At 49.6% G+C, this 24050-nt stretch overlaps 1 protein-coding gene and 1 long non-coding RNA gene across 15 annotated transcripts, besides 7 other annotated features; one reads left to right on the top strand and one right to left on the bottom strand.

Moving 5' to 3' along the window:
• The first annotated feature begins 3849 nt into the window (after window positions 1–3849).
• SYT15-AS1 (SYT15 antisense RNA 1) lies at window positions 3850–19827 on the top strand. 2 transcript variants are annotated; one of them, NR_155739.1, is made up of 2 exons: window positions 3850–4161; window positions 18857–19827. It is a non-coding gene; the product is annotated as an SYT15 antisense RNA 1 (long non-coding RNA). The 2 variants fall into 2 exon arrangements; NR_155740.1 differs by lacking the exon at window positions 18857–19827 and adding an exon at window positions 5665–5891.
• Window positions 4887–22867, bottom strand: SYT15 (synaptotagmin 15). 13 transcript variants are annotated; one of them, XM_047425825.1, is made up of 9 exons: window positions 22820–22867; window positions 21627–21831; window positions 20959–21101; window positions 19804–20120; window positions 18093–18263; window positions 17380–17500; window positions 16218–16397; window positions 12322–12396; window positions 4887–6843 (listed from the first exon to the last, which is right to left on the bottom strand). In XM_047425825.1, the coding sequence occupies exons 1-8, from the start codon at window positions 22824–22826 to the stop codon at window positions 12347–12349; spliced, it is 1194 nt and encodes a 397-aa protein (XP_047281781.1). In that variant the 5' UTR covers window positions 22827–22867; the 3' UTR covers window positions 4887–6843; window positions 12322–12346. The 13 variants fall into 13 exon arrangements, with proteins under 13 accessions (XP_047281781.1, XP_047281783.1, XP_047281784.1 ...); XM_047425827.1 differs by lacking the exon at window positions 4887–6843 and adding an exon at window positions 7822–11592; XM_047425828.1 differs by lacking the exon at window positions 4887–6843 and adding an exon at window positions 7822–8006.
• Window positions 14357–14876: an enhancer, noted in NCBI's record as "H3K27ac-H3K4me1 hESC enhancer chr10:46961979-46962498 (GRCh37/hg19 assembly coordinates)". NCBI's record gives its function as "activates a minimal SCP1, AML or CMV promoter by ChIP-STARR-seq in primed H9 embryonic stem cells {active_cell/tissue: H9 hESC(primed)}" and the evidence as "EXISTENCE:reporter gene assay evidence [ECO:0000049][PMID:30033119]".
• Window positions 14357–15241: a biological region, named in NCBI's record as "Sharpr-MPRA regulatory regions 2784 and 8617 duplicate 1".
• Window positions 14794–14977: a silencer, noted in NCBI's record as "fragment chr10:46962416-46962599 (GRCh37/hg19 assembly coordinates)". NCBI's record gives its function as "represses an EF-1alpha promoter that drives an FKBP-Casp9 reporter gene in an ReSE screen in phorbol 12-myristate 13-acetate-treated (for megakaryocytic differentiation) K562 erythroleukemia cells {active_cell/tissue: K562(+PMA)}" and the evidence as "EXISTENCE:reporter gene assay evidence [ECO:0000049][PMID:32094911]".
• Window positions 14887–15181: an enhancer, noted in NCBI's record as "tiled region #2784; HepG2 Activating DNase matched - State 5:Enh, and K562 Activating DNase unmatched - State 25:Art". NCBI's record gives its function as "weakly activates a minimal TATA promoter and a strong SV40 promoter by Sharpr-MPRA in HepG2 and K562 cells {active_cell/tissue: HepG2 | K562}" and the evidence as "EXISTENCE:reporter gene assay evidence [ECO:0000049][PMID:27701403]".
• Window positions 14947–15241: an enhancer, noted in NCBI's record as "tiled region #8617; K562 Activating DNase unmatched - State 25:Art". NCBI's record gives its function as "activates a minimal TATA promoter and a strong SV40 promoter by Sharpr-MPRA in K562 cells {active_cell/tissue: K562}" and the evidence as "EXISTENCE:reporter gene assay evidence [ECO:0000049][PMID:27701403]".
• Window positions 21245–22124: an enhancer, noted in NCBI's record as "H3K27ac-H3K4me1 hESC enhancer chr10:46968867-46969746 (GRCh37/hg19 assembly coordinates)". NCBI's record gives its function as "activates a minimal SCP1, AML or CMV promoter by ChIP-STARR-seq in primed H9 embryonic stem cells {active_cell/tissue: H9 hESC(primed)}" and the evidence as "EXISTENCE:reporter gene assay evidence [ECO:0000049][PMID:30033119]".
• Window positions 22125–23002: an enhancer, noted in NCBI's record as "H3K27ac-H3K4me1 hESC enhancer chr10:46969747-46970624 (GRCh37/hg19 assembly coordinates)". NCBI's record gives its function as "activates a minimal SCP1, AML or CMV promoter by ChIP-STARR-seq in primed H9 embryonic stem cells {active_cell/tissue: H9 hESC(primed)}" and the evidence as "EXISTENCE:reporter gene assay evidence [ECO:0000049][PMID:30033119]".

Genomic DNA, 24050 nt, shown 5'->3' with positions numbered 1-24050 from the left:
AGGAAATATTCCTCCACTTCTAAAGAATACAATTTCCCTGTGTTAGAAAGATCAGTTCTGGTGTGGTGGCTCACTCCCGTAATCCCTGTACCTTGGGAGCCTGAGATGGGAGGATTGCTTGAGGCCAGGAATTGGAGACCAGCCTGGACAACATAGCAAGATCTTGTCTCTATAAAACACTAAAAAAAAAAAAAAAAAAAAAATTAGCCAGGCATGGTGACACACTACTCAGGAGGCTGAGGCAGGAAGATCACTTGAGCCCGGGAGTTTGAGGCTGCAGTGAGCTATGATCTGCCACTACACTCCAGCCTGGATGACAAAGCGAGACCCTGTCTCTAAAAAAATAAAACCAACAACAAACATACATAAATAAAAAGATCACATCCAAATAATAGAAAAAGATGATATGGTTTTGGTCCCCAAAACTGACATCATGTAGGAGATATTGGAACTTTGTGGGTGGGAGCCAAGCCCATTCTGGTGCCCCTTCTCTAGGTCACGTCTATACTGCTTGTTTGGATTCCTTGGCAAAAACTGATTATGCAAGGCAGTAGGATGCCTGGCTCAAATTGGGTCAATCAGATCCTTTTTCTTGGAATTTAAAAAAAAATTGCATGAAAACGTATAGTTAAATGCACAGGTCTTAAGTGTACAATTTAGAGTTTTGACAAATATATACATTCATGTAACTGAACCCCAAACAAGATATGGAGCATTTCCATCACCCTAGAATTTTCATTCATCCCCACTTCCAGTCAGTCTCCTCCATCCATGATGGCCAACCACTATTCTGATTTCTATCACTATACACTAGTTTGATCTTTGTTTGGACTTCATGTAAATGAAATCATACAGTATATATTCCTTTGTAACTGGCTTTTTTTAACCTAAGAATGTTTTTCAGGCTTATCCATATTTTTATGTGAATCAGCAGTTTATTCTTTTTTATTGTTCAGTAATATATCAATGTGTGAATATATTATCCATTCGCCTGTTGAAGGTCATTTGAGTTCTTTCCAGTTTCGAACTATTATGAATAAAGCTGCTAAAAACATTTTTAAAACAAGTCTTGTTGTGGACATAAGTTTTTGTTGGGGCAGGGATTTAAATAGCTAGGACTGAGATTGTCAGTTTATTGGATAGGTATATATTTAACTTGAGAAGAATCTGCCAAACAGTGCTCCAAAGTTGTGCAATTTTACACTCTCCGCAGCCAAAATGGAGGCTTCCAGTTGTTGTACATCCTTGTCAACATTTGAGATGTCAGTCATTTTCACTGTAGCCATTCTAGAGGCTGTAAAGTGGAACCTCCTGGTTTTGGTTTCTCTTTCACTGATGACTAATGATGCACAACTTTTCATGTGCTCATTGGCCATTTGTATACCTTCATTTGTGAAGTGTCTCTCAAGTCATCTGCACATTTATCTTATTGGGTTGTTTGTCTTTTTACTGATCAGACATATGTATTCTAGATAAAAGTCAGATATATGTATTATTGATATTTCAAAGCATTTTGTTCAGCAGTAGAAATGCTGGCTATATGATTTGAGAATAAAAATACGTATGTAATCGTAACAAGAAGTCTTAAATAAATTAAAATGTCACTATTTTGAATAACTAGAATATATATTAAGAAAAATAATCCCAGGAAATAAAAAATATGCTAGTAATATATTAATTACACATAACAAATTTACAAAATTATATTACCATATAACAGTAATACATAATTCTAAATAAAAATAATCATGCTCACAGATAAAACCAAAAACTTTAAGAGCTTAATTTATTGAAAGGAAATGATTTAAATATCATGAGGGAAATAAAAGGAGACAAGAAGTAGTGGAACACTCTACTGTGCTCCTGCTGTTTGGGAAGATGTACTATACAGAGTTAATTCAACAATAAACAAAGTCCCTGAGGGATGGCCTATACAAGTTGACAAGTTGATGTAAAAATTAATTGAGGGAATTAAACAGAAATGTAAATATTCCAATAACCATCGAATTATACATTTTAAATGGATGAATCGTATATGTGAATTATATCTCAATAAAACGATTATAAAAAAAGAATAAACAGGGATTTTTTTTTTTTTTGAGACAGAGTTTTGCTCTTGTTGCCCAGGCTGGAGTGCAATGGCACGATCTTGGCTCACCGCAACCTCCACCTCTCAGGTTCAAGCAATTCTTCTGCCTCAGCCTCCCGAGTAGCTGGGATTACAGGCATGCACCTCCATGCCTGGCTAATTTTGTATTTTTAATAGAGATGGGGTTTTTCCATGTTGGCCAGACTGGTCTCAGACTCCCAGGCTTAGGTGAGCCTCTCGCCTCGCTCTCCCAAAGTGCTGGGATTACAGGCGTGAGCCACTGCGCCTGGCCTAACAGGGAAATATTTTTCAAGTTAAAGCAAAAAAACAAGGTAAGCCAAGTAAAACTATATAAAAATATATGATTTTGGTGTTTACAGCGCATTGGGTAAAAAATCTTACTCAGAAACAGTATGTAAAATATTTCATTTTTAGAAAACTATACATTAAATCAATGGAGAGTGGCCAAAAAATTTTAACACTGTTTATCTCAAGGAGCTACAACTATGGTAAATATTTTCCTTAATAATGAAATGTGGAAACATTTCTGAGAACAGAAATAAGACGAAGATGTCCATTATCATCACTTGTATTCAATACTTTCCTGGTATTCCTAACAAGAGTAATAAGGCAAAAAAGTTGAAATAAAAATACTAAGATTGGACCTAAGATACAAAACTATGTATGTATATTAACAACTCAAAAGAATCCAGAGACAAGTTATTAGAATTAGTGAGTTTAGCATGACTGAATAAATGGTCAAAATAGGAAAACCAATTTTATTTCTGTATACCAGCAAGAGTTAGAAAATAAAACATTTTAAAACAATACCATTTATGGTAGCATAAAAATTCAAATGTCTGGGGAAAAATTTAATGAAAGATGTCCATGACACTTTAAATATTATTTAGAGAAATGAGAGAAGAGGTAAATAAACAGAAGTACATACCATGTGAACTGATTAGATGACCCAGTATTTTAAAGATGTCAATTCTCCCCTGAATTGACTTATAAACTCAATGCAACCCCGGGCGCAGTGGCTCACGCCTGTAATCCCAGCACTTTGGGAGGCTGAGGCGGGCAGATCACGAGGTCAGGAGATCGAGACCATCCTGGTTAACACGGTGAAACCCTGTCTCTACTAAAAAAAAAAAAAAAAAAAAAAATACAAAAAATTAGCCGGGCGTGGTGGCGGGCGCCTGTAGTCCCAGCTACTCGGGAGGCTGAGGCAGGAGAATGGCATGAACCCGGGAGGCGGAGCTTGCAGTGAGCCAAGATCAGGCCACTGCACTCCAGCCTGGGCGACAGAGCAAGACTCTGTCTCAAAAAAAAAAAAAAAAGAAATGGAAAAAGAAAAAAATCTCAATGCAATCCCAATCAAAATCACAACAGGCTTCATATATATATATATATATATATATATGTGTGTGTGTGTGTGTGTGTGTGTGTGTGTGTGTGTGTGTGTGTGAGAGAGAGAGAGAGAGAGAGAGAAGTTGCATGGTTAGGTGGTAAAAGCAGTGTTTGCCATAAAAATCAGGTCGTTGGTTATTTTGGTGGGGAGGGAGAGGTAGTGTTTGGAAGGGGACACAAGGGAAGGTTTTGGGACGCATGGTATACCGGTTGTCAATGTATGGCCTCGCACCTCCAAATCCATCCTTTAATACCTGCTCTGTGGGCACAGCCAGAATCCCCTTCCGCGGCTCCCCTCGCGGCAGGGAGGATGCTGAACAGTAGAGGGCGCTGGAGACACGCTGCGGGAGGCTGTCGCTCGGGTCCGGCTGCGGGCCACAGGCCGCGGATCGCGCTCTGCCAGCGCCCCACGCCCGCAAGCGCGGCCCCTCCGCCACCTCGCGGCCCGGCCTGACCTGTTAATCACGTCCCCACGGCTCTCCTAGCGGGGACACCGCCGTCTGCAGGCTCCGTCCCCACAGTGCCCAGACCCCGGGAAGTTTGTCAGTCAGCACCCTGATGCCAGCCGATTCTCAAAAAGCCAGGAGGATCCAAGCAGATGATTTGCCAGACGGTACTGCAGCAATGGAGATGAACAGATAATTCACACAGAAAGAAGGACGGTAGGGAGAGACGTGCGGGGGGTAGGGAGGGCGGAAGGAAGGTCTAGGGGAAGGAGCGGAGGGGGAAGGGAGGAAGGAAGGCAGCAATGGAATGAAAGGAGAAGGGAGGAAGGACTCGTTGAATGCACAGCCTCCCCGGTGCTGCACCGACAGGAGCGGCTCTCACAGGCATGGGGCCCCCAACAGACCCTACCAGGCTGCGGGAATGTTGCGGCCCTGCAGGGCGTCTCTGTCTTTTTTGAGGTGTCTCTGGTAATATGTGATAATGACAGTATTTTTAGACATTTGGAATCTGATTTAAATTTTAGCTCCATCACCTTCTAGCTGTGGGACCCTGAGAAACAGCACATCCTCCCGGATCCTCCCATCTCTCTTGTCCACACGTGGGGAAGGCTCCTGGTGGGGGGGGGTTGGGGGGGAGGGGGGAAGGGGGGGTTGGGGGGAGGGGGAAGGGGGGGGCCTTGCAGATTTACCAAGCTGATGTACAAAGACCTACTACAGCGGTAAGGGCTAGCTCCTTTCTCCCACTCTGGCAGTCACTCCACTTTGAGAAACATACATCTTGAAATAAAGCTACAAGTGGAGAGGGGCAGGTGATTTGGGCAAATGATTCCATACTAAATGTTAGGACAAAACATCCTAGGCAAATATCACAATCCGGCGTCATAGTGGCATACTAAATTCAACCAAGAAATATACCCATGATGTTGAAAGAGCCAGGCTTATGGAATGTAAACAGCAAACTATTTTATTCTTGTTTTCTATTTACCAATTCAAACTTACTCTGCAGGTCACTCCTCCCTGCCCCTGGGATAAAATCTAGGGCATGTTCTGTGACTTTCTGGATCACAAAATTCACATGATTTTTGGATCATTCTCAGTTAACCAAAAATGTGTCCTGTAACTTCTAGCTATAAAAATAGGCTCTGTTCAGCATTTAAAATGTCCAATCCCATGTAGGAGTCTAAACTTTCGATTTCATTTTAAGTTTAAGCTTCCTCTTGATTCCTCCCCCAAGTCTGGCCCAGGCTTGCATTTGGCTCCAGGCATTGGGCGGGTAGCAGTGTTTCCTCTCCATTTTTCACTTTCACTCTTCCCTCCCCAACTAGCTTGCAGGGATTTCTGATCACCTAGTAGAGTCTAGAGGCGTAAGGGAAGGAGGTCACCAAGGGGCAGGCCAGGCTTTATGTGAATAGTGCTGTTGTGAGCCAAGTACTTGAGTACTTCGAGGTCCCCTTCTACTGCAGACATCTTCCCTATGGTTCCTGTGACCCAGGTTTGTCTCAGAGTGGGGTTAGCACACGGTACCATCTCCATCCCCTTTAAAAGTATTTATTACATTTTTCTGGAAATGGAAGTCTGGGAATTATATTTCCCTGATAGTCTTATGAGCAGGATTCCAGGTTGATTCTGCCAAATGTGAGGCACTCAGGTGAGACTAGAAAGCAGAAAGATGGTTTAAAAAATCATCGTTTTCTTCCTTTGACTCTGCACTTATGACAGCAGGATGCTCGAGACTCTTGCAGTAATTTGGGCAAAGATTTCCACAGTGCAAAATAGAAAAAACGTAACTGGCAAATAGCTGTACAAATTACAGTCCATTTTCATCATGGAATGTCAGTTTGGCAACAATGGCATCGAGGCCCAAAAGCAGCTCTGCAGTAGGGGGGTTCCTCCTTGGTGACTGGATGGGCACAGCGAAGCACAAATTCCTGAAGATCCCAGCTCCAGGAAACATCAGCATGGTTCATTGCGTTGTCCACCTGAATTCTTCACCCCTCCCTGTGGCTGTGTCCATTGCCCTGTAGTGTTGCAGTTCCCCTCAGGAAAAAGATATCATTTACTTCTCTGACCCTTGATTTGGAGCTTGGCTATGTGACGTGCTTTGGCCAATGGGATATTGGATGACATAACATAAGGAGAGACACAGATATGCATCTGCACAATGCAGCTTGCCTTTTTATGCTTCTGCCTTCACCATGAAAAGAGCTTTCCCTGGGGGTAGCAGCTGTCCCTGCAGCCTGTGTTCAGAATGCACAAATGTGAGGAGCCAAGCCCAGCCAGCTTGAAAGTGAGTTGCCAGGCCCAGCGCAGTGGCTCACACCTGTAATCCCAGCACTTTGGGAGGCCGAGACAGGCAGATCACCTGAGGTCCGGAGTTCGAGACGAGCCTGACCAACATGGAGAAACCCCCGTTTCTACTAAAAAATACAAAATTAGGCCTGGCGCAGTGGCTCACGCCTGTAATCTCAGCACTTTGGGAGGCCGAGGCAGGCGGATTACCTGAGGTCGGGAGTTCGAGATCAGCCTGGCCAACATGGAGAAACCCCGTTTCTACTAAAAATACAAAAGTAGCCGGGCGTGGTGGCACATGCCTGTAATCCCAGCTACTTGGGAGGCTGAGGCAGGAGAATCGCTTGAACCTGGGAGGCAGAGGTTGCGGTGAGCCGAGATCACGCCATTGCACTCCAGCCTGGGCAACAAGAGCAAAACTCCGTTGAAAGAAAGAAAGGAAAGAAAGGAAGGAAGGCAGACAAAATTAGCCGGGCGTGGTAGCGCATGCCTGTAATCCCAGCTACTCAGGAGACTGAGGCAGGAGAATCACTTGAACCTGGGAGGCGGAGGTTGCAGTGAGCTGAGATGGCGCCACTGCACTCCAGCCTGGGCAACAAGAGTGAAACCCTAAAAAAAAAAAAAAAAGTGAGTTGCCTACCCTAGCTCAGACCACCTCCAGCCAACCCACAGATGTGTTAGAAATGAGTGCTTATTTAAGTATGGCATTGACATGTTGTGATTAGTTGTTATGCACCATTATAGCAAAAAAATTGCACACTGATAAAAGTAACTGTTCCCTCGTTGGCTTCACCAGCTTTCCCAAGAATTGTTTAATCCCATTCCCTGTATAAAATCACTCTCTGCTGAGAATCCTTTTTCTGAGAAAAGAATTCTGAGAATTTTTTTTCTGCTTGAGGCAGACCAACACTCATTCCAAGAACAACTGGAAAGGCTGAATAAAACACAGAAAACTTTTTTAAAAAGTTTTTGGAAAGCTTCCCAGTTAACAAACATTTGAAGGGTCATAATCTCAAAAGAAGAAAAACACAAGGAGGCAAGCTGGCCCTCTGTGAACTACTTTTCCCTTCAGGAAACGTGCTGATTTTAGCTAAGAGGCCGAGCATTTGGGCAGACGGCCATAGCTAAGAGGCAGCAAAGGCAGCAGAGTCGTCTTCAGCTGGAGAGACAAGAAATGGAGACTGAGGTTGTCAAGGCAGCTGGAACTGAAGGGGCCGAGATATCATGTAGAAGGGAGACACAGAAAAGGAACACTTTCCCCTTGAGGCATCTGCTGAGTTAAGCTATGCAGAAAGGCTATGAAAAGCAGCAGGTTTTGGCAGTGTCATATTAATGAGATAAAAGTTGGAGTTCAGGACCCACCAAGGAAAAGAAGCCTAATAATCACATCAGACACTCAGTTGGAATCCTTGGAGGACCACACTCTAGATAGACGGGCAAACCAGAGATGGAGATGAAGCCTTCCAAAAACTGCAACATAGACTCTAGTCAGTTCGGTACCATTGGATTAAGGTAAAATCTTCCCACTCTGTCTATCAGATGACATGGTAAACCCTCCCTTGAGACAGACATTGTTTTCAGATCATGTTTCCTGGAGCCACTAAAATTTATTATAATGGTTAGCATTCAACAATAAGTGATCAAACACACCACAAAACAGGAAGGAGGGGAAAACAGACACAACAAAACGGAGCCACTAATGACCCAGATATTGGTGTTATCAGACACAGACTTGATGGGTGGAATAGAGACTTTCATCAAAGAACTGGAATCTATAAGAAAGAATGAAATGGAAATTTAAAACTTAAAAATACAATAATTGAAATTAACTACTTAGCATATGGGTTAACTACAATTAGATTTAGCAGAAGGAACATTCTTTGAACTGTAATATAGGACAGAATAAAAACTCTAAGCTGAAGAACAGAGACAAAGAGTATGGAAAATACAGCAAAGAACATAAGATACTTGTGGGAGGTGGTGAACAGGCCTAACACATATGTAACTGGAGTCTTAGAAGGGAGGAAGATGGGGCAGAAGGAACAGTTAAATAAATATAGCCTGAGAACTTTCCAAAACTGATAAAGCTTTATGATCCCCAAGCAGGATAAATAAAAACAAAACTGCATCCAGGCACACTATACTTTTTTTTTATTATTATTTTTTGAGACGGAGTTTTTCTTTGTCACCCAGGCTGGAGTACGGTGGCGCGCGATCTCAGCTCACTGCAACCTCCGCCTCCCCAAGGTCAAGCGATTCTCCTGCCTCAGTCTCCCGAATAGCTGGGATTACAGGCACGCGCCACCATGCCTGGCTAATTTTTGGATTTTTTAGTGGAGACGGGGTTTCACCATGTTGGCCAGGTTGGTCTCAAACTTCTGACCTCAGGTGATCCACTGGCCTTGGCCTCCCAAACTGCTGGGATTATAGGCGTGAGCCACCGCACCCAACCCAGGCACACTATACTTAAACTGCTGCAAATGAAAGACAAGGAAAAAACAGTAAAAGCAGCTAGAGGCAGGTAGGAGGGACACATTTCTTCTTTTCTTTTTTCTTTTCCCCTCCCTCCCTCTCTCCTCCTTCCTGCCTCCCTCCTGTCATTTTCTTTTGTAGAGGGGGGGGATCTTGCTCTGTTGCCTGGGCTGGTTTTGAACTCCTGGGCTCAAGGGTGCTGGGATGACGGGCGTGAGCCAGTGCATGTTACTGACACATTACTCTCAAAGGAGAAACAATAGCACTGAAAATCACTTGTCAACAGAAATGATGGAAGTGAGAAGATAATGGAGTGCCATTCTGAAGTTCCTCAAAGAAAAAAGTGTCAACCTGTAATCCTATATTCACAAAATATACTTAAAAATGAATTTGAAATAGATGTTTCTATTCAAAAACTGAGAAAGGCTGGGTGAGGTGGCCTGTAATCCCAGTCCTTTGGGAGGTCAAAGCAGGCAGACTGTTTGAGCTCTGGAGTTTGAGACCAGCCTGAGCAACATGGTGAAATCCCTTCTCTACAAAAAATACAAAAGAATTAGCCAGGTATGGTGGTGCCTGCCTGTAGTCCCGCTACTCGGGAGGCTGAGGTGGGAGGACTGCTTGAACCTAGGAGGTTGAGGCTACAGTGAACCATGATCATGCCACTGCACTCCAGCCTGGGCGACAGAGTGAGACCCTGTCTCAAAAACAAGCAAACAAAAAAACACAAAAAAACCTGAGAAAATTTGCTGCCAGCAGATGTGCATACACAAAAAATACTAAAGGGAATTCTTCAGGTAGAAGAAAACTGATCTATGATAGAATCACAGAAATGCAGGAAATAATAAAAAAAAACAGAGTGAATATGTGGGTGAATACAAATGAATATTGACTGCACATAGCAATAATAATAATGTCTCGTTAGGTGTAAAATATATGTGAAATTAAAATGAGTAATAATAATATACATGCAAGAGTAGAATGGAGGTAAATAGAGATTGAGTATTGTGAGATCATAGCATTGTCTGGGAAACAATAAAAAGTAAAATTTGTATTAGATTATAATAATGTACAGAAGTTGTAATCTGTGGAGGAAACCACTAAAGAAATTATAAAAGAATGTGTAAGTAGAACCAATGGTAGGGGGGGAAACGGAATTAAAAAAATAATCAGAAAGAAAGCAACAGAAAAGAAAAAATAAAAACAAAAATGGGTAAGACAAATGGAAACAAGTAGTAAGATGGTATTTATGAACACAACTATATCAGTAATTACAATAAATGTAAATTCACGAAATACACAAAAGACAAAATTTGACAGACTTGATTAAAACAACTCTATTCAAGAGACATGACATCATTATAAGAACATTGAAAATTCAAAAATAAGGGGGAAAGTGAAAAAAATACCATTGTGAGTGGTAGAGAAAGCCATTTCACATAATAAAGGTTCACTCTACCAGAAAACGTCAATTTTAAATGGGTATGAGCCTAATAACACAACCTCTAAATGCATAAAACAAAAACTAACAAAACTCAAAGGAGAAATAAACAAATTCATAATAACAGTGGCAGGCTTTATCCTCTCTCAGTAATTTATAGAAAAACAGACAAAAATATCAGTAAAGATGTAGATAATTTGACCAACCTGATTAACAAACTTGACCCAGTTGAAATACACATAACACCTGCACACAACTGCAGAATGCACATTCTTTCAAGTGCAAGAACATTATGATAAGAATATTATAGGAAAGTCTGTCATAAACATAGCTTATATAAAAATATAACAGCAAATTAATCTAAATTTTATTTATTTATTTACTTATTTTATTTTTTTGTTTATACTTATGTCATAAACATAGTTTATATAAAAATATAACAGCAAATTGATCTAAATTTTATTTATTTATTTATTTACTTATTTTATTTTTGGAGACAGAGTCTCGCTTTGTTATCCAAGCTGTAGTGCAGTGGCGTGAACATGACTCACTTCAGCCTTAACCTCCCGGGCTCACGCAATACTCCTGCCCCAGCCCTCCAAGTAGCTGGGACAACAGGCATGTGACACCATACCTGGCTAATTTTTGTGGTTTTTGTAGAGACCGAGTTTCACCACGTTGGTCTCAAATTCCTGAGCTTAGACAATCTACCTGCCTTGGCCTTCCAAAGTGCGGGGATAATAGATGTGAGCCACTGAGCTCGACTTAAATCTAAATTTTATTTTATTTTATTTTATGGCCATGCTCCCTCTAATAAATCTAAATTTTAAATAAATAAGTCCAAGTATTGTTGTGTTTATGTGTATAAACCTGCGCACACACACAAAAGTGTACACACCCTGCTGGTTTCTATTACAAGAATGTTAAGTTTGGTTTGACATTCAACAGTCAATTAGTATAAGTCATCACATCCAAAGAATAAAGGAGAAAAATAAAATTATTTCAAAAGGTGCAGAGTAAGTATTTGAGAGAAATTTAACCTTATTTGTAATTAAAAAAATCTTTTTAACAGCTTGAGAATATATGTTAATGAGTACATTAAAAATCCTATAACAACCATCAAACTTCATGGTGAATATTGACAACTCTCCACATGCCACACCCACCACCCCTGAGATTGAGGATGAGACAAGAATACCCACTATCACTACTTATAGTCAGCATTCTGCTGGAGGTCCTAGCCACTGCAATTTGTATACCAATTTTATATCTTGCAACCTTGCCAAACTTATTAGCTCTAGTAGTTTTTTTGTGTGTGGATTCCTTAGGATTTTCCATAGACAAGATTATGTCATGTGCAGATATAGTTTTACTTCTTTCTTTATGATCTGGATCACTTTTATTTCTTTATCTTGTCCAATTGCTCAGCCACTGCAGTTTGGCAAGAGCTAAATAAGGCATAAAGATTAAGAAAGGAAGAAATAAAACTGTCATTCACAGAGGACATGATTATACAAAAATAATCTGCAAATTATTACAATTTAAATGAATGTCACAAAGCCTCTCACTGGATAACAAGGTCAACATAGTTTTGTAGCAACAGAATCTGTATATACTAGCCATAAACAAATATAAAACGTCTAAGAATAAATCTATTGAAGGATGTGCAAGAACACTTTACTGAAAACCACAAAAATAGTTCTGAGAAACATACAAAAGACTTAAAGTGAAGAGATATACCATGTTAATGAATAGGAAGATTGAATATTTTAATGATGTCAAATGGCCCCCAAATTGTTCTACATAATCAATTAAATCCAATCAAATTCTAGCACTTTATTTTGTGGAAATTGACTAGCTGATTCTAAAGTGTTTTATGGAAATGTAAAGGGCTTCTTTCTTCTGGAGTTGCCTTGTGGACAGGATTTGAGACAACCCAGGCCAGGTTTCTCTGGTCCATGGGAAGCATGCGTATGCTTTTTGCCCTGACTATGTCTGTAGAGAACAGCCCAAACAACAACCTCCTCCCCATCAGAGCAGAGAGCCAGCTAGTCTCTTGCCATTTAGATTTTTCAGGGATGAGTCAGAGATACCAGTCTACTCTGTCCTGCAGAAAAGGATACTTATCAACTTTTCCAAGCGGCCCTAGAAAAGTCACTGCTAGTCAGAAATCTCACCTTGGAATGTGGGGGTGGCTGGCATCTATCCGGATGTCAGATGAAACAGAAACAGTTCCACTGTAGTAGCCTGCTCTATAAACACACAGAGAACCCCTATTACATGTGAGCTATGAAGCTATTAGAAACTACAGCTTTGCGGACTACTTTGAAAATGTGCAAGTGGGCCGGGCGTGGTGGCTCACGCCTGTAATCCCAGCACTTTGGGAGGCCGAGGCGGGTAGATCATGAGGTCAGGAGATCGAGACCATCCTGGCTAACACAGTGAAACCCCGTCTCTACTTGAAAATACAAAAAATTAGCAGGGCGTGGTGGCAGGTGTCTGTAGTCCCAGCTACTCCGGAGGCTGAGGCAGGACAGTGGTGTAAGTAAACCCGGGAGGCGGAGCTTGCAGTAAGCCTAGATCGCGCCACCGCACTCCAGCCTGGGCGACAGAGCAAGACTCCATCTCAAAAAACAAACAAACAAACAAACAAACAAACAAAAAATGTGCAAGTGAAATAAGTGACAAAAAGCAAACACAAGATATTCTGTTCATACGAAACACTGCGAGGCGACACTTGTGTTTGTAGATTGACAGAAATTGGAGGTGGAGTTAAAGAGGTAGAAACTCAGTATAACATTCATTGCCTCTTTTGCTAAAGTTGTTTCACTGCATAAGAAAAAGATACTGGTCGGGCTGGGTGCGGTGACTCATGCCTGTAATCCCAGCACTTTGGGAGGCTGAGGCAGGTGGATCACCTGAGGCCAGGAATTTGAGACCAGCCTAGCCAACATGGTAAAATTCCGTCTCTACTAAAAATAAAAAAAATTAGCCAGGCATGGTGGCGGGCGCCAGTAATCCCAGCTACTTGGGAGGCTGAGGCAGGAGAATCGCTTGAACCTGGGAGGTGGAGGGTGCAGTGAGCCGAGATCACGCCATTGCACTCCAGCCTGGGTGACAAGAGGGAAACTCCGTCTCAAAAAATTAAAATAAAAAAAAAAAAAAGAAAAAGAAGGAAAAAAGAGAAAGAGATAGTGGTTCCATGTGCTGTTCTAGTTACACAAAACAACGTGTTGACGTGCAGGCTGCACGATGCCAGGTGCAAATACACACTACCTGTTACAGTAACTGTGACAAGCACAAGGGCTGCTCACTAGCTTGAGTGCAACTTCTGGGGAGTTGATGGCAGTGATCTGTGGGTACTTCCTTCTTAACAAATTTTACATCAATACTGCAACACAGCAATCTCAGCCCTGTGGGCTATACCATAGCCACATGCTTTCACCATTTCCTGCTCAAAGGGAGAGCCCAGGAACTGAATGCTCTTAATCAGGGAGAGCACAGAAACAGCAGCAGAACAGCTGGAGAACCAGGGCTGTGTGGTTTTGGACTGTGGGGAGGGTGGGCCATGGGCAGACTTGACACAATGTGGGAGGGCATTTGACACAGCCCCGTGGAGGACCTAATGCTCGGGGAGGCCTTCACCCAGCACAGTGAGCCATGCCGACACTTGGTGCCTGAGTGCGCTGGTCACAGCGCCCTCCCTGTGATTTTCCCCATAGCAGTGTGTTTTCTCTGCCAGGCAGAAGGCAGAGAAACCCTGGCTGAAAAAGCAGTGAGGGTCATCGACTGCATGAACACATCATCAGCTTTCCCAGATGGAGGCACCCAAGTTTACCCTGCAGGTCCATTCAGCAGGTAGAGCTGGGTCATCACTAAACAGGATCTTTCTTCTGAGCATCTGAGATTCTGGTCCAAATCAGGGCTGTGAGGACCAGGAGCCGGGATTCCGAGCCCAGGCAGCCCCGCAGATAAGGAGGAGGGAGTGTGTCGGAAGGCTGTATGGCCAGAGCCGCTGACCGGGCCAGGGCTTCTTTGTCCCCTCTTCTCTCCTGCATATCAGCACTCACGTCCTCCTGGCTCGGGCTGGCTGGCAGCTCGGGGAGCTGTTGGATGAAACGTCCATGCGTGTGGCTGTGGCTGTCACATGCAACTGCGAGGATGGTCGGCTCCCAAAGCGGAACCGCGGTGCTGGGCGAAGGGTCAGGGCTCCGTGGTGCGGCAGAGCGCATGCCAGCGCTTCACCAGCTCCTTGGGCTTGCTGAGCATCTCGTCCCAGTGCTCCAGCTCTCTGCCGCGGGTGTACATGTAGGGGCCCACCACCACTCGGCCCAGCTGCTGGCTCTCTGCAGGGGAGGGAGAGCACCGGTGTGCTCCTGAGCACAGAAGCCCCGTCCCCAGTGACCTCCTTTCCTCCCTCCTCCTCCCCAGGAGGAAGTAGCAACTCCCCTCCTCTCTGAGTGGGAGCTGACAGGCCCCAAAGGGGCCCTGCCTTTGCTCTGCAGCTGGAAGGGCTGCTTCTCCCCCTGGGAGATTGGGAGGAAGGAGAGCCCTGAAAGACTCTCTCCTTGAGGGCCACCAGCTCTGCCCCACACCCTTCTGTGGGGCCGTATTAAGTCTACCTTATGCCAAAGAGCTGAGGGAGGAAAGGGCCCCTCTAGAAAGAAGGCCTCGGCCATCCGAGAGTACATTCAGCAGTAACATTCACTGGCCACCGTGGAGAAGGGTCTTAAGTCCAGGCCATGTGGCCAGCCACGGCCTGATGGCTCTGTTTCCCCAGAGTGGCAGTGGGTGCTGGGGTGTGGGGCAGTGTGGGAGCTGGCTGACAGAACTCGCCCAGAACCCCAAAGTCTCATCTGGAGGGCACGAGGAAGGTCAGAGCACCAGGTCCCTGGGCTGGTGGCAGGCCTGGCCCCTCCCACTCTCTCGGGTGATTTGCTCCAGGAGAGGGCAGCAGAGGCCATTGCTTAACCTCTTTCTTTTTCTTTTCTTTTCTTTTTTTTTTTTTTGACAGAGTCTCGCTCTGTGGACAGGCTGGAGTGCAGTTGCAAGATCTTGGCTCACTGCAACCTCTGCCTCCCGGGTTCAAGTGATTCTTCTGCTTCAGCCTCCCGAGTAGTTGGGCCTACAGGCGTGCACCACCACGCCTAGCTAACTTTTGTATTTTTAGTACAGACGGAATTTTACTATGTTGGCCAGGATGGTCTTGATCTCTTGACGTCGTGATCCACCCCTCTCGGTCTCCCAAAGTGCTAGGATTATAGGCGTGAGCCACCGCACCCAGCCAACCTCTTTTTTTTTTTTTGAGACGAAGTCTCGCTCTGTTGCCCAGGCTGGAATGCAGTGGTGCGATCTCGGCTCACTGCAAGCTCCGCCTCCCAGGCTCATGCCATTCTCCTGCCTCAGCCTCCCAAGTAGCTGGGACTACAGGCACCAGCCACCACACCCAGCTAATTTTTTGTATTTTTAGTAGAGACGTGGTTTCACTGTGTTAGCCAGGACGGTCTCGATCTCCTGACCTCGTGATCTGCCTACCTCGGCCTTCCAAAGTGCTGGGATTACAGGTGTGAGCCACCGTGCCCGGCCCTTTTTTTTTTTTTTTTTTTTTTGACAGATTCAGCAGCCTCGCCTCCTGGGTTCAAGAGATCCTCCCACCTCAACCTCCCAAGTAGCTGGGATTACAGGGGTGTGCCACCACGCCCAGCTAATTATTGTATTTTTAGTAGAGATGAGCGTTTCACCATGTTGGCCAGGCTGGTCTTGAACTCCTGAGCTCAAGTGATCCACCCACCTTGGCCTCCCAAGGTGCTGGGATTACAGATGTGAGCCAGCATGCCCGGCTGCTTAACCTGTTTCTAGGGTGCCACAGACAGAGCTCAACTGGACTAAAGCTGGGCCTGAAACCCAGGCCTTGGGCAATATTTCAGCCTTTCTGAGCACTAGTTTCCTTAACCAGGGAGGGAGCTCGTACAGCTCCTTCTGAGGTCAGGACAGGAGGCACTCACTCTGCCTGAACACTCGGCAGCCCCTCGTGGTCCCCATCCCAGCAGCCCAGGGTAGGGTGTGGCCTTACTGTCCCCTTCCATGTTCTGCACCACAGTCAGGCTGAGGCTAGCGGTATCCAGCTCGGTGGCATCGGCCTTGAAGCTGAAGGTCTCATTGTACACAGGGTTGATGGAGCCCAGCACAGCTGAAGTCTTCTTGCACTTGACAAACTTGTTGTGGTTCATCAGAGACACTTTGACAAACACACCTAGGGAACGGTGAGCACTAGTGGGCTGGCAGAGGCAGGTGGGAGCAGAGCCCCTGCCTGTGGGAGGTCCGGCTAGGAGGGCACGTGCCCAAGCTAGGTGCCAGGGCCCCACCCCTCACACAGTGCTGCGGCCCCGCCGGCGTGACCAGAGGAAGCCGGCTGAGGAGTGCACTGCCCTGCGGCCCAGGCGGGGCTCCGCTCCCTTCCTTTTCCTTCCTCTTTGCATCAGGAAAGTACCCACGGCTCCTGCAGGCCCTGGTTTACCAGAGCCTAGCACCGCAAGCCTGTCCCTCCCTGTTGGGGGGCTGCTCACTGGGCCCCCAGGCCCCCTGGGGCCCCTTAAACACCTTGTACAGAGGGCTAAGATTTGGTGGGTGAGGGTCAGAGTCACAGTGGAAGGTCTGGATCCTGCCTGGCTTACGGTGACCCCAGATGTGAACACAAACAGGTGGCTGACCACCACCTCACTGGGATGGGTGGGATGTGTGGGGTGAGCCCAAATGGGGTGGGACATGTGGGGTGAACCAAGGCCTCCCCTTCTGCAGCTCCTGTATTCTGGGAGGCCAAGCATCAGTGCCCATTGAGTCGGGGGCTCTTCCCCTGTGGGGAGGGAGGTGCGGGCCTCACCCTGGAGGAACTGGACCCATGCCGCTGATGGAAAGGTGGAGGTGGAGGCAGGCAGGACAGTTCAAAGAGCCAAGACGCTGCCTCGGGAAACAGGAGGGGCAGGGCCTGGTATTGCGGCTGGGTTAGAACCCTCCGTAGGGGAGGCCAAGGAGATGCAGCTTTGGGTTCAACACAGGAAGAGGCTTCCTGCACCAGAACTGTCGACCGAGGGACAGCACGTCTTGTGAGGTAGTGAGCGCTCCATGATAGGTGTATGCAAGCAGAAACTGGATGGTCAGGGATGAGGTTGGACTGTAGCCCCAGGCTGTAAGCTCGGTGGGTGGGACCTTCCCCAGGAGGAAAGGGAGGAACTCACTGACAATGCCTCTGTCCTCCTGGAGCCGGAGGCCCTTGGCACGCAGCACAACCACCGTCAGGCGGCTCAGGTAGTCGTTGTAGCTGAGGCAGAACTGGAGGTCGCCAAACTCCGAGGGGGGCTGGGGAGGCCAAGATGGAAGCACCCCACCCTGTTACTCTGGCAAGTGCTGAAGGGGTCACAGAACCCCCAGAGAGCCTCCCGCTTCCTCCTAGCGGTCCATGCGACACACCCGCATGGTCCCCTTTGAGTTCCACTGCCATTTTAAGGATGGGGCAACTGTGGTCTGGAGAGTTTAAGGGGCTTGTGCAGTCCTGTGGACCAGAGCTAAGGAGTCACACCCAGGTCTGAGCCAGCTGGGGCCTTCCTGGGGGTGGTGGGCTGGAGGAAACATTTCCCTGGGCTGGACCATTTGTGGTGTCATCTCTCACAGCTGTCTAACCTAGATAAGAATCCAAATGTGGATATTTCAGGTTGCTCCAGGGGGTCTGATGGCCAGTGTGACAACAGGACCTCAAGCAGGCCCTCCCTGCCCAGGGGCAGGTCCGTTCCCACCTGTCCCATGCTGCTTGGGGCCTGGGCCCTCCTCCCTGAGTCACTGTTGTAGGGTGGTGTGCAGGATGCTGAGGGCTGATGCCGCCAGCAGGTGCTGGGCCCTGTGCACACCTGCCAGCTGATGCTCAGTGGCATAGGCATGGTGACCTTGACCATACCTCCAGGCTCTCGGCCTCCAGGTCTCTCCAGATGACACGCCGGCAGTCCCCCACTAGGGTCTCATTCTTCAAGGGGAAGAGCACCTGGCCCAGGAGCTGGTGCTTCCTCTGCCTGTCCACGTGGTAGACGGAGAACTTCAGCACCCTCTGGGTGATGGTCTTGCTGGACACCTGGGGGGGACAAGGACACCAGCCAGAGTCAGGCGTGGGGGTAGGGGATGGGATGGTGTGACTTGTTATTCTGGACATGGGTGCTTTTGGGAACGGGTGTCTCAACCAGGGACCCACATCCCCCAAACCTAGGCATTTTCAGGGGACCCTTCTCAGCAGCAGAGCCGTGTACCCCTGGAAAGTGGGGGTAGGTGCCAGGACCTTGGTACACAGAGTGTGGTCCGAGGACCTGTAGCGTCTACCACCACTTGGAGCCCTGTTAGAAATGCAGGATCTTGGGCCCCAGCCCAGATTCATGAATTGGAATCTGCCGTTTAACCGGAGCACCAAGTGACATGGCTGCACGGTGAGTGTGGCTCCGCCACCACCCTGCACTGTAGCAAAGGCCCAGGAGCCCAGGGCACCGGCCTGTCTCTGCTGTCAGAGCTGGGCATGCCAGCTCTCTCCTCCCTGAGATTTGGCCTCCTCGCCTGTGAAATGGGGATTATGGGTCTTCCTCTCTGGTTGTAAAACCCCAATCACAGTGTCTGACCTCCAGCAGATGGCCCATTAATATTGATTTTCTTTTCTTTCCCCTTCTCCCTTTTCCACAGAGGGATTGGATCAAGCTGGGGCGAGATAGAGTGGGGAAGTGATGAGCTAAGAAAAATTAGCCTGCAAGCATGACGTGTCGCACGTCAGCAAGGCTGCAGCCTTGGATTCTGATGTCTTGAGAAGAGCGATTCACCTGTGAATTCTCACAGCCCTGGCCTCAGAAAGACGGCCCGGGACCAGGCCCGATGGCACCCCTCTTCCCAGCTCTCAGCCAGGGCGGAAGGCACAAGTGATGGCCCTGGCCTCCGCAGTCACACTCCTCCTGAAAGCTGACTGGCTGAACCTCACCTCTTGGCTAGCTTGCCACCCAGCTCTTGAGAACATGTTTGTCCAAGGCCTCTTGGCAGGTCTCGATGACTCCTTCCCCTAAGGGCCCCCAGTCACCTGCTAAGGCTCCCAGGCCCCTGTGAAACTGGCTCGGTGCCCCAATAGACTCTCCACCTCCAGACCCTAAGCCGGCCAGCCCAGAGTGCAGCAAGGCACCACACCTACCCTGTGAGGGCACTCGGGCCCCGCGCTGGCCTCTGACAGCACAGGAAGCTTCTGCATTCACGCTGAGGCCTGTCTTTTGCCTTCCTTAGATAAACTTGCCAGAAACCCCATAGTGCTTCAGGCCTTTGGGATAATTCCCCTGAGCCCCATAGGCCAGGGCCTGGCATTCAGTAGTTGCTCTAAAATTGTGTTTTCACCCACTCTCTTCCAGGTAGTCAGGACAGGGAAGCCCAGGCTTCTGGTCACCACTCACCAAATCTCTCCCCTGCCCCTCTATCAGGGATCAGCTCCTATAGGCCTTAACCTAGCAGACTAGGTAAAGCAGAGCTGGTGGCATCAAGGGTCCCGGGGGCTGCAGAGCCCTGGCTGGTACAGGAGGCTGGGCTCTCCTGTAGGTCTGCACCTTCCCAGCAACGCGGAGGGCACCAGACCCTGCCTGCTCCAGAGGCTGTACCTGAAAGATGAAGTGCTCGTCAAACTGCGGGTTGGAGGTTTTGCGTTTGGTCTTGGATTGGAGGAAGCGCCGCTCATCGGGCAGCAGGTAGAGCTTCACCAGGGGGCTGCAGGTCTCCGAGGGGGCTTGCAGGTGCTGTGCCTTGATCAAGCCCACCAGCAGCCGCTCAGCCTCCTGCTCATATTCCACCGAGAACCACAGCCGCCCCAGGCAGCCGTCGGGGAAGTCGGTCTCACTTTTGTCCTCCGGGAACTTGTACAGCTCTGGGTTGATGGCCCCCACCATACATGCATCTCCTATGACAGAGGGTGGGAGGGCTGGCAGGCCAGAGGAAGGCAGGGGCATGGGAGACAGTGGCAAGCTCTGGGCACCCATCCCCATCCTGGCCCATCCGTCTCTGCTGAGCCTCAGCTAGCCTGACCACATCTGCCCCACTCTCCTCACCAGGCTAAACACATCCCCTCTCTCTGGTGCAGCTCCTCCAAGAAGCCTTCTCACCATGAAGGCATTGCATGGCCAGGCTGGGGATCCAGCAGAGTCCTGCCCCCTGGGATTGGCCCCCATCCTTGGAGGTCAGGACCTGTTTCAAGGACACAGTGCCCATCACCTGGCCTAGCCCCCTTCCATGGCGTCTAGGGAATGACTCAGCGATAAAACATTGCCTTTCTTCTTCCTCTTCAAATTAGAAGGGCCAAGGTGATTATTGGGTGGTTCCTGTGATGGTCTCTTGGTAGATCTTCAGGGCAAAGAGGTGGCAGAAAGCTGTGTTTGCAGCCCCTACCATTCTGTCCTCTTGGTCAACCAACCCATCATCCTAGAGTGGGACCCAGCACAAGTTCTGTACATGGCGTGCCTGGGTTCCAATTCCAATCTGTTGCTTACAGCCTCAGTTAAGACTATGTAAAATGGGGTGATAATTCCTCCCCCTCAGAGTCATGGTGAGGTCTCACTCCAAATCAGCACCCAAGGCCATATCTTACCCTCATGGGGTGCAGCAAGCACTTCATAAATGAAAGCACCCAGAAAGAGTGGTCCCTGGGTGGTCCCTGGCATCCCTGGCTGGTTCAGGTTGTGTTCCGGAGCCAAGCTGGTGAAAGCAGATGGGGCCACCCGAGCAGACCCTGACCTCTGGGCAGCCCTGGCAAGGACACTCACCAAGGCCGCCGCTGGAGGTGTGAGGCAGCAGCTCTGATGCCGGGCAGGGGTCCCATGGGGCATCGGCCCACTCTCCACTGTGCAGGGGCACCCAATCTCGGCCTTGAAGGGTTGGGGGCACCACGAATGGCACAGCTGGTGGCCTGTCCAGAGTCAGGGAGACAACATGTAGGTGGCAAGTCAATGGTGTGGTCTCAGAGCGCTCAGCCAGGACGGTTGAGCACCAGGGGCTGGAGGAAGAAAAGCCATCGGGAGCCAGGAGGAGGCCAGGGCACCATTTTCTGGGCCCATACCAGGCAACACACACACACACACACGCACACACACACACACACACACACACACACACACACACAGCAGTGGGATTTGAAGAAGGAACACAGCACCTGACAGTGTCAGCCAGTCTGGGTTTGGATTCCTGTTCTGCCACTTACTAATTGTGTTCTCTGGACCTGTTGCTTATGTGCACTGAGCCTCAGATTCCTCACCTGGAACATGGGTTTCATAACACCTGCCTAATAGCTGATGTGAGGTTTCTGGGGTTTCTTTGTGATAGCTCCCAGCACCGAAGCAGCATAGAAGAGGCACCCCCATAAACAGAACTTTCCTTTTCGACCCCACCCTGAGGGAAATTCCAGGGGCGCACTTGGCCCCACATCCTGCCTCACCTGCTCAGTTGGGTCCTAGCATGCGGCTGGCAGGGCCTGTCCCGCTGCCCACTGGAGGCAGCTGTGGTGGCCATGGCTGGTGTCCCAGGCAGCTCCTCATAGGTGAGGGTGGCACAGAACCTTCTCCACAGACAGCAGCTTGCCCCGATCAACAGCAGCAGCAGCAGCCCCCCGATGGTGCCCCCAATCACCAGGGCCAGCTGCTCTGGGGGCAGAGACCACCAGTACTATGATGCCTGCCTGGGAAAGCCACTCTCCCTCACAGCCCTGGCCTGCTGGGGCAGAACTAGGGCAGCAACCCTGCCTCTGGGTTTGATCTCAGGAGTGATAGGAGCAGGCCTGCTGGGGATGGGTTCCGGGAGGGATGCTGCTGGCTAGGTTCCGCCAGCTCTCAGAGGAGAAGCCGTTTACCCCAGGGTCTGAGAGCCCTGGGCAGAACCTTCTAGTTTTCCTTGGAAAACAGCTGGCCCTGCCCTTGGGATTCTGGCTTAAAGAAGCCATTTCCTTGCGCTTCTGAGTAGAAATCAAACCTGCCCTCACCAGAACCTCCATATCCCCTGGGCTCCTGTTGAGGCCAGGAGGGGAGCTGGGGTGTGGACGCAGTCAGTTAAGGAAAGCCCTGAAAGGTACCTTCCCCCTGGTCTGCAATCAAACCTCTACCCTCTGGGGCCCTGGAACCTGCTGCAAGGCTGGACTCTTCTCTAACACCCGCTCCCTCCCCTAGCCCTCTATCAAGGTGAGCACGCGCTTAGGGGAGTTGGTGCGACGCGGTGGACGAGGTGGGGAGGAAAAGGGGGCAAGACCCCGTTGCTGCTGGCCCTCACACGTCCGCATTTGCGGGACCTAGGAGGCTTCGCCCCGGGGGTGCTCAGACGCTGGGTTCCAACCGCTGGCCACCTGGGGCGGGCCAAAAAGGTGCCTCCCTTAGGGTGACGTGCGGCCGCGGGGCATTCAGGTCTCAGGGATCTGCACTGGGTGGGGTGGTGAGAAGGCCGGACCCCCCACACCTCCTAAGCCGCAACTGACCGCGAAGAGCGGGCCTCAGCGTCTACTCCATCCCAGTGCCCCTCCAAGAGCGCGCCGAGGCCGGGCAGGGCAGGCGCTGCACCCCAGCGGGGGCGGCGGGGCGGAGGCAAGTGCTGGAAGGGTCGCAGAGGGGCCGGGGCTGGGCTGGGGAGGCGAGGCTCGCTTACCCGCCATGGGGCTGCTCCCGCAGGCTGGTCTCGCCGGTCTGGGCGGCTGGGGCTGGGCTGCCAGGCCGTCTCTTAAAGCGCCGCGGGGCGCCGTCGGGCGAGCACAGGGGCGGTCCGTGGTGCTGCTGGTGCCCAGCTGCGGCGCGGGGAGCCGCGCAGTGCACGGCAGGGGCAGGGACCCAGCGCCCCGAGGCCGCAGTCCCGCCCCAGCCCGTCCCTGGCCCAGGCCCAGGCCCGGCGGTGGAGGGGCGCAGAGCCGACCGTGAGCTCCCGGAAACCGCAGGGCTCCAGCCAGGGCGGGTCCCGGGCGCCAGGGGCGCCAGGGGCTCCCTGCGGCTTGGGGCAGGGTGGGGTGAGAGTACCACCCCCATCCCGGAGAGCAGGGCTACAGCCTTCACCGCCGCGTCTGACACAGGGCTCCGCACCCGACCCCTCACACCTGGTGGCCAGGACTGAGCCCCCGCCCTCCCAGATCCTCCTCAAGCCGAGGCCCCTCCAGCCGCAGCTCCGACCCCGGCTCGGGGGAGCCTTCCCGGATCCCGGGGTGGAGTCTCCGCGCGGGTCCCCGGCCCCAGCGCTGCCTGCCTGATGGCCTTGGGCAGGGATGCGGCGCTCGCGCACCCGTTCGCTCTCAGCGGACAAACCGGTCGAGAGCGCAATTCTGGAGCGGGTTCCAGAAGCTCCTGGGTTCCAATTCAGGCTCCTCACTCGCCAGCCCTGCGATTTGGGACAACTTAACGTTCGTAAGCTGGGTTCAGTCTTCTCAATTGGGTTAATGTCCGTGAGGGGCTCTCGTAAGGGCGGCTGGCCTGCCGGTAACTTAAGAAGCATGTAAAGAGCACTTAGAGCGGAGGAGCGGCGCGGCCCAGCCCCTGTTACGGTGGTTATCGGATGGAGGCCAGCGTCGCCTGGGTCCCCTCTGTACACCCAGCGCCTATTATTATGGTGATTATTAGAACGCAGGGCCCGTGCCCACTAGTCCAGGCTGGCGAACGCGCCTTGCGGGAAAGGCGGGAGTAAGGTCGCTGCGTGTCCTCTCTGGTCACACCTCGGCGCGCCCTGGTCGCGCCCCTATGGTTCCCCCGCCGAGGCCTCGAGGCGTCTGAGTGGGGAGCGAAAGGAATGTGTGTATCTGTGGTGCAGGGGAGTGTGTGTGTGTGGGGGGGGGGAGGGGGTGGTTGTGGGGGAGTGCGTGTTTTGGGGGGATGGACCTTCTCGTTTTACAGCCTTG

The sequence above is a fragment of the Homo sapiens genome, chromosome 10, assembly GCF_000001405.40.
Source record: "Homo sapiens chromosome 10, GRCh38.p14 Primary Assembly".
NCBI lineage: Eukaryota > Metazoa > Chordata > Mammalia > Primates > Hominidae > Homo > Homo sapiens.
The sequence above is the reverse complement of the archived record's forward strand: the minus strand, read 5'-3'. Positions and strand labels throughout refer to the sequence as shown.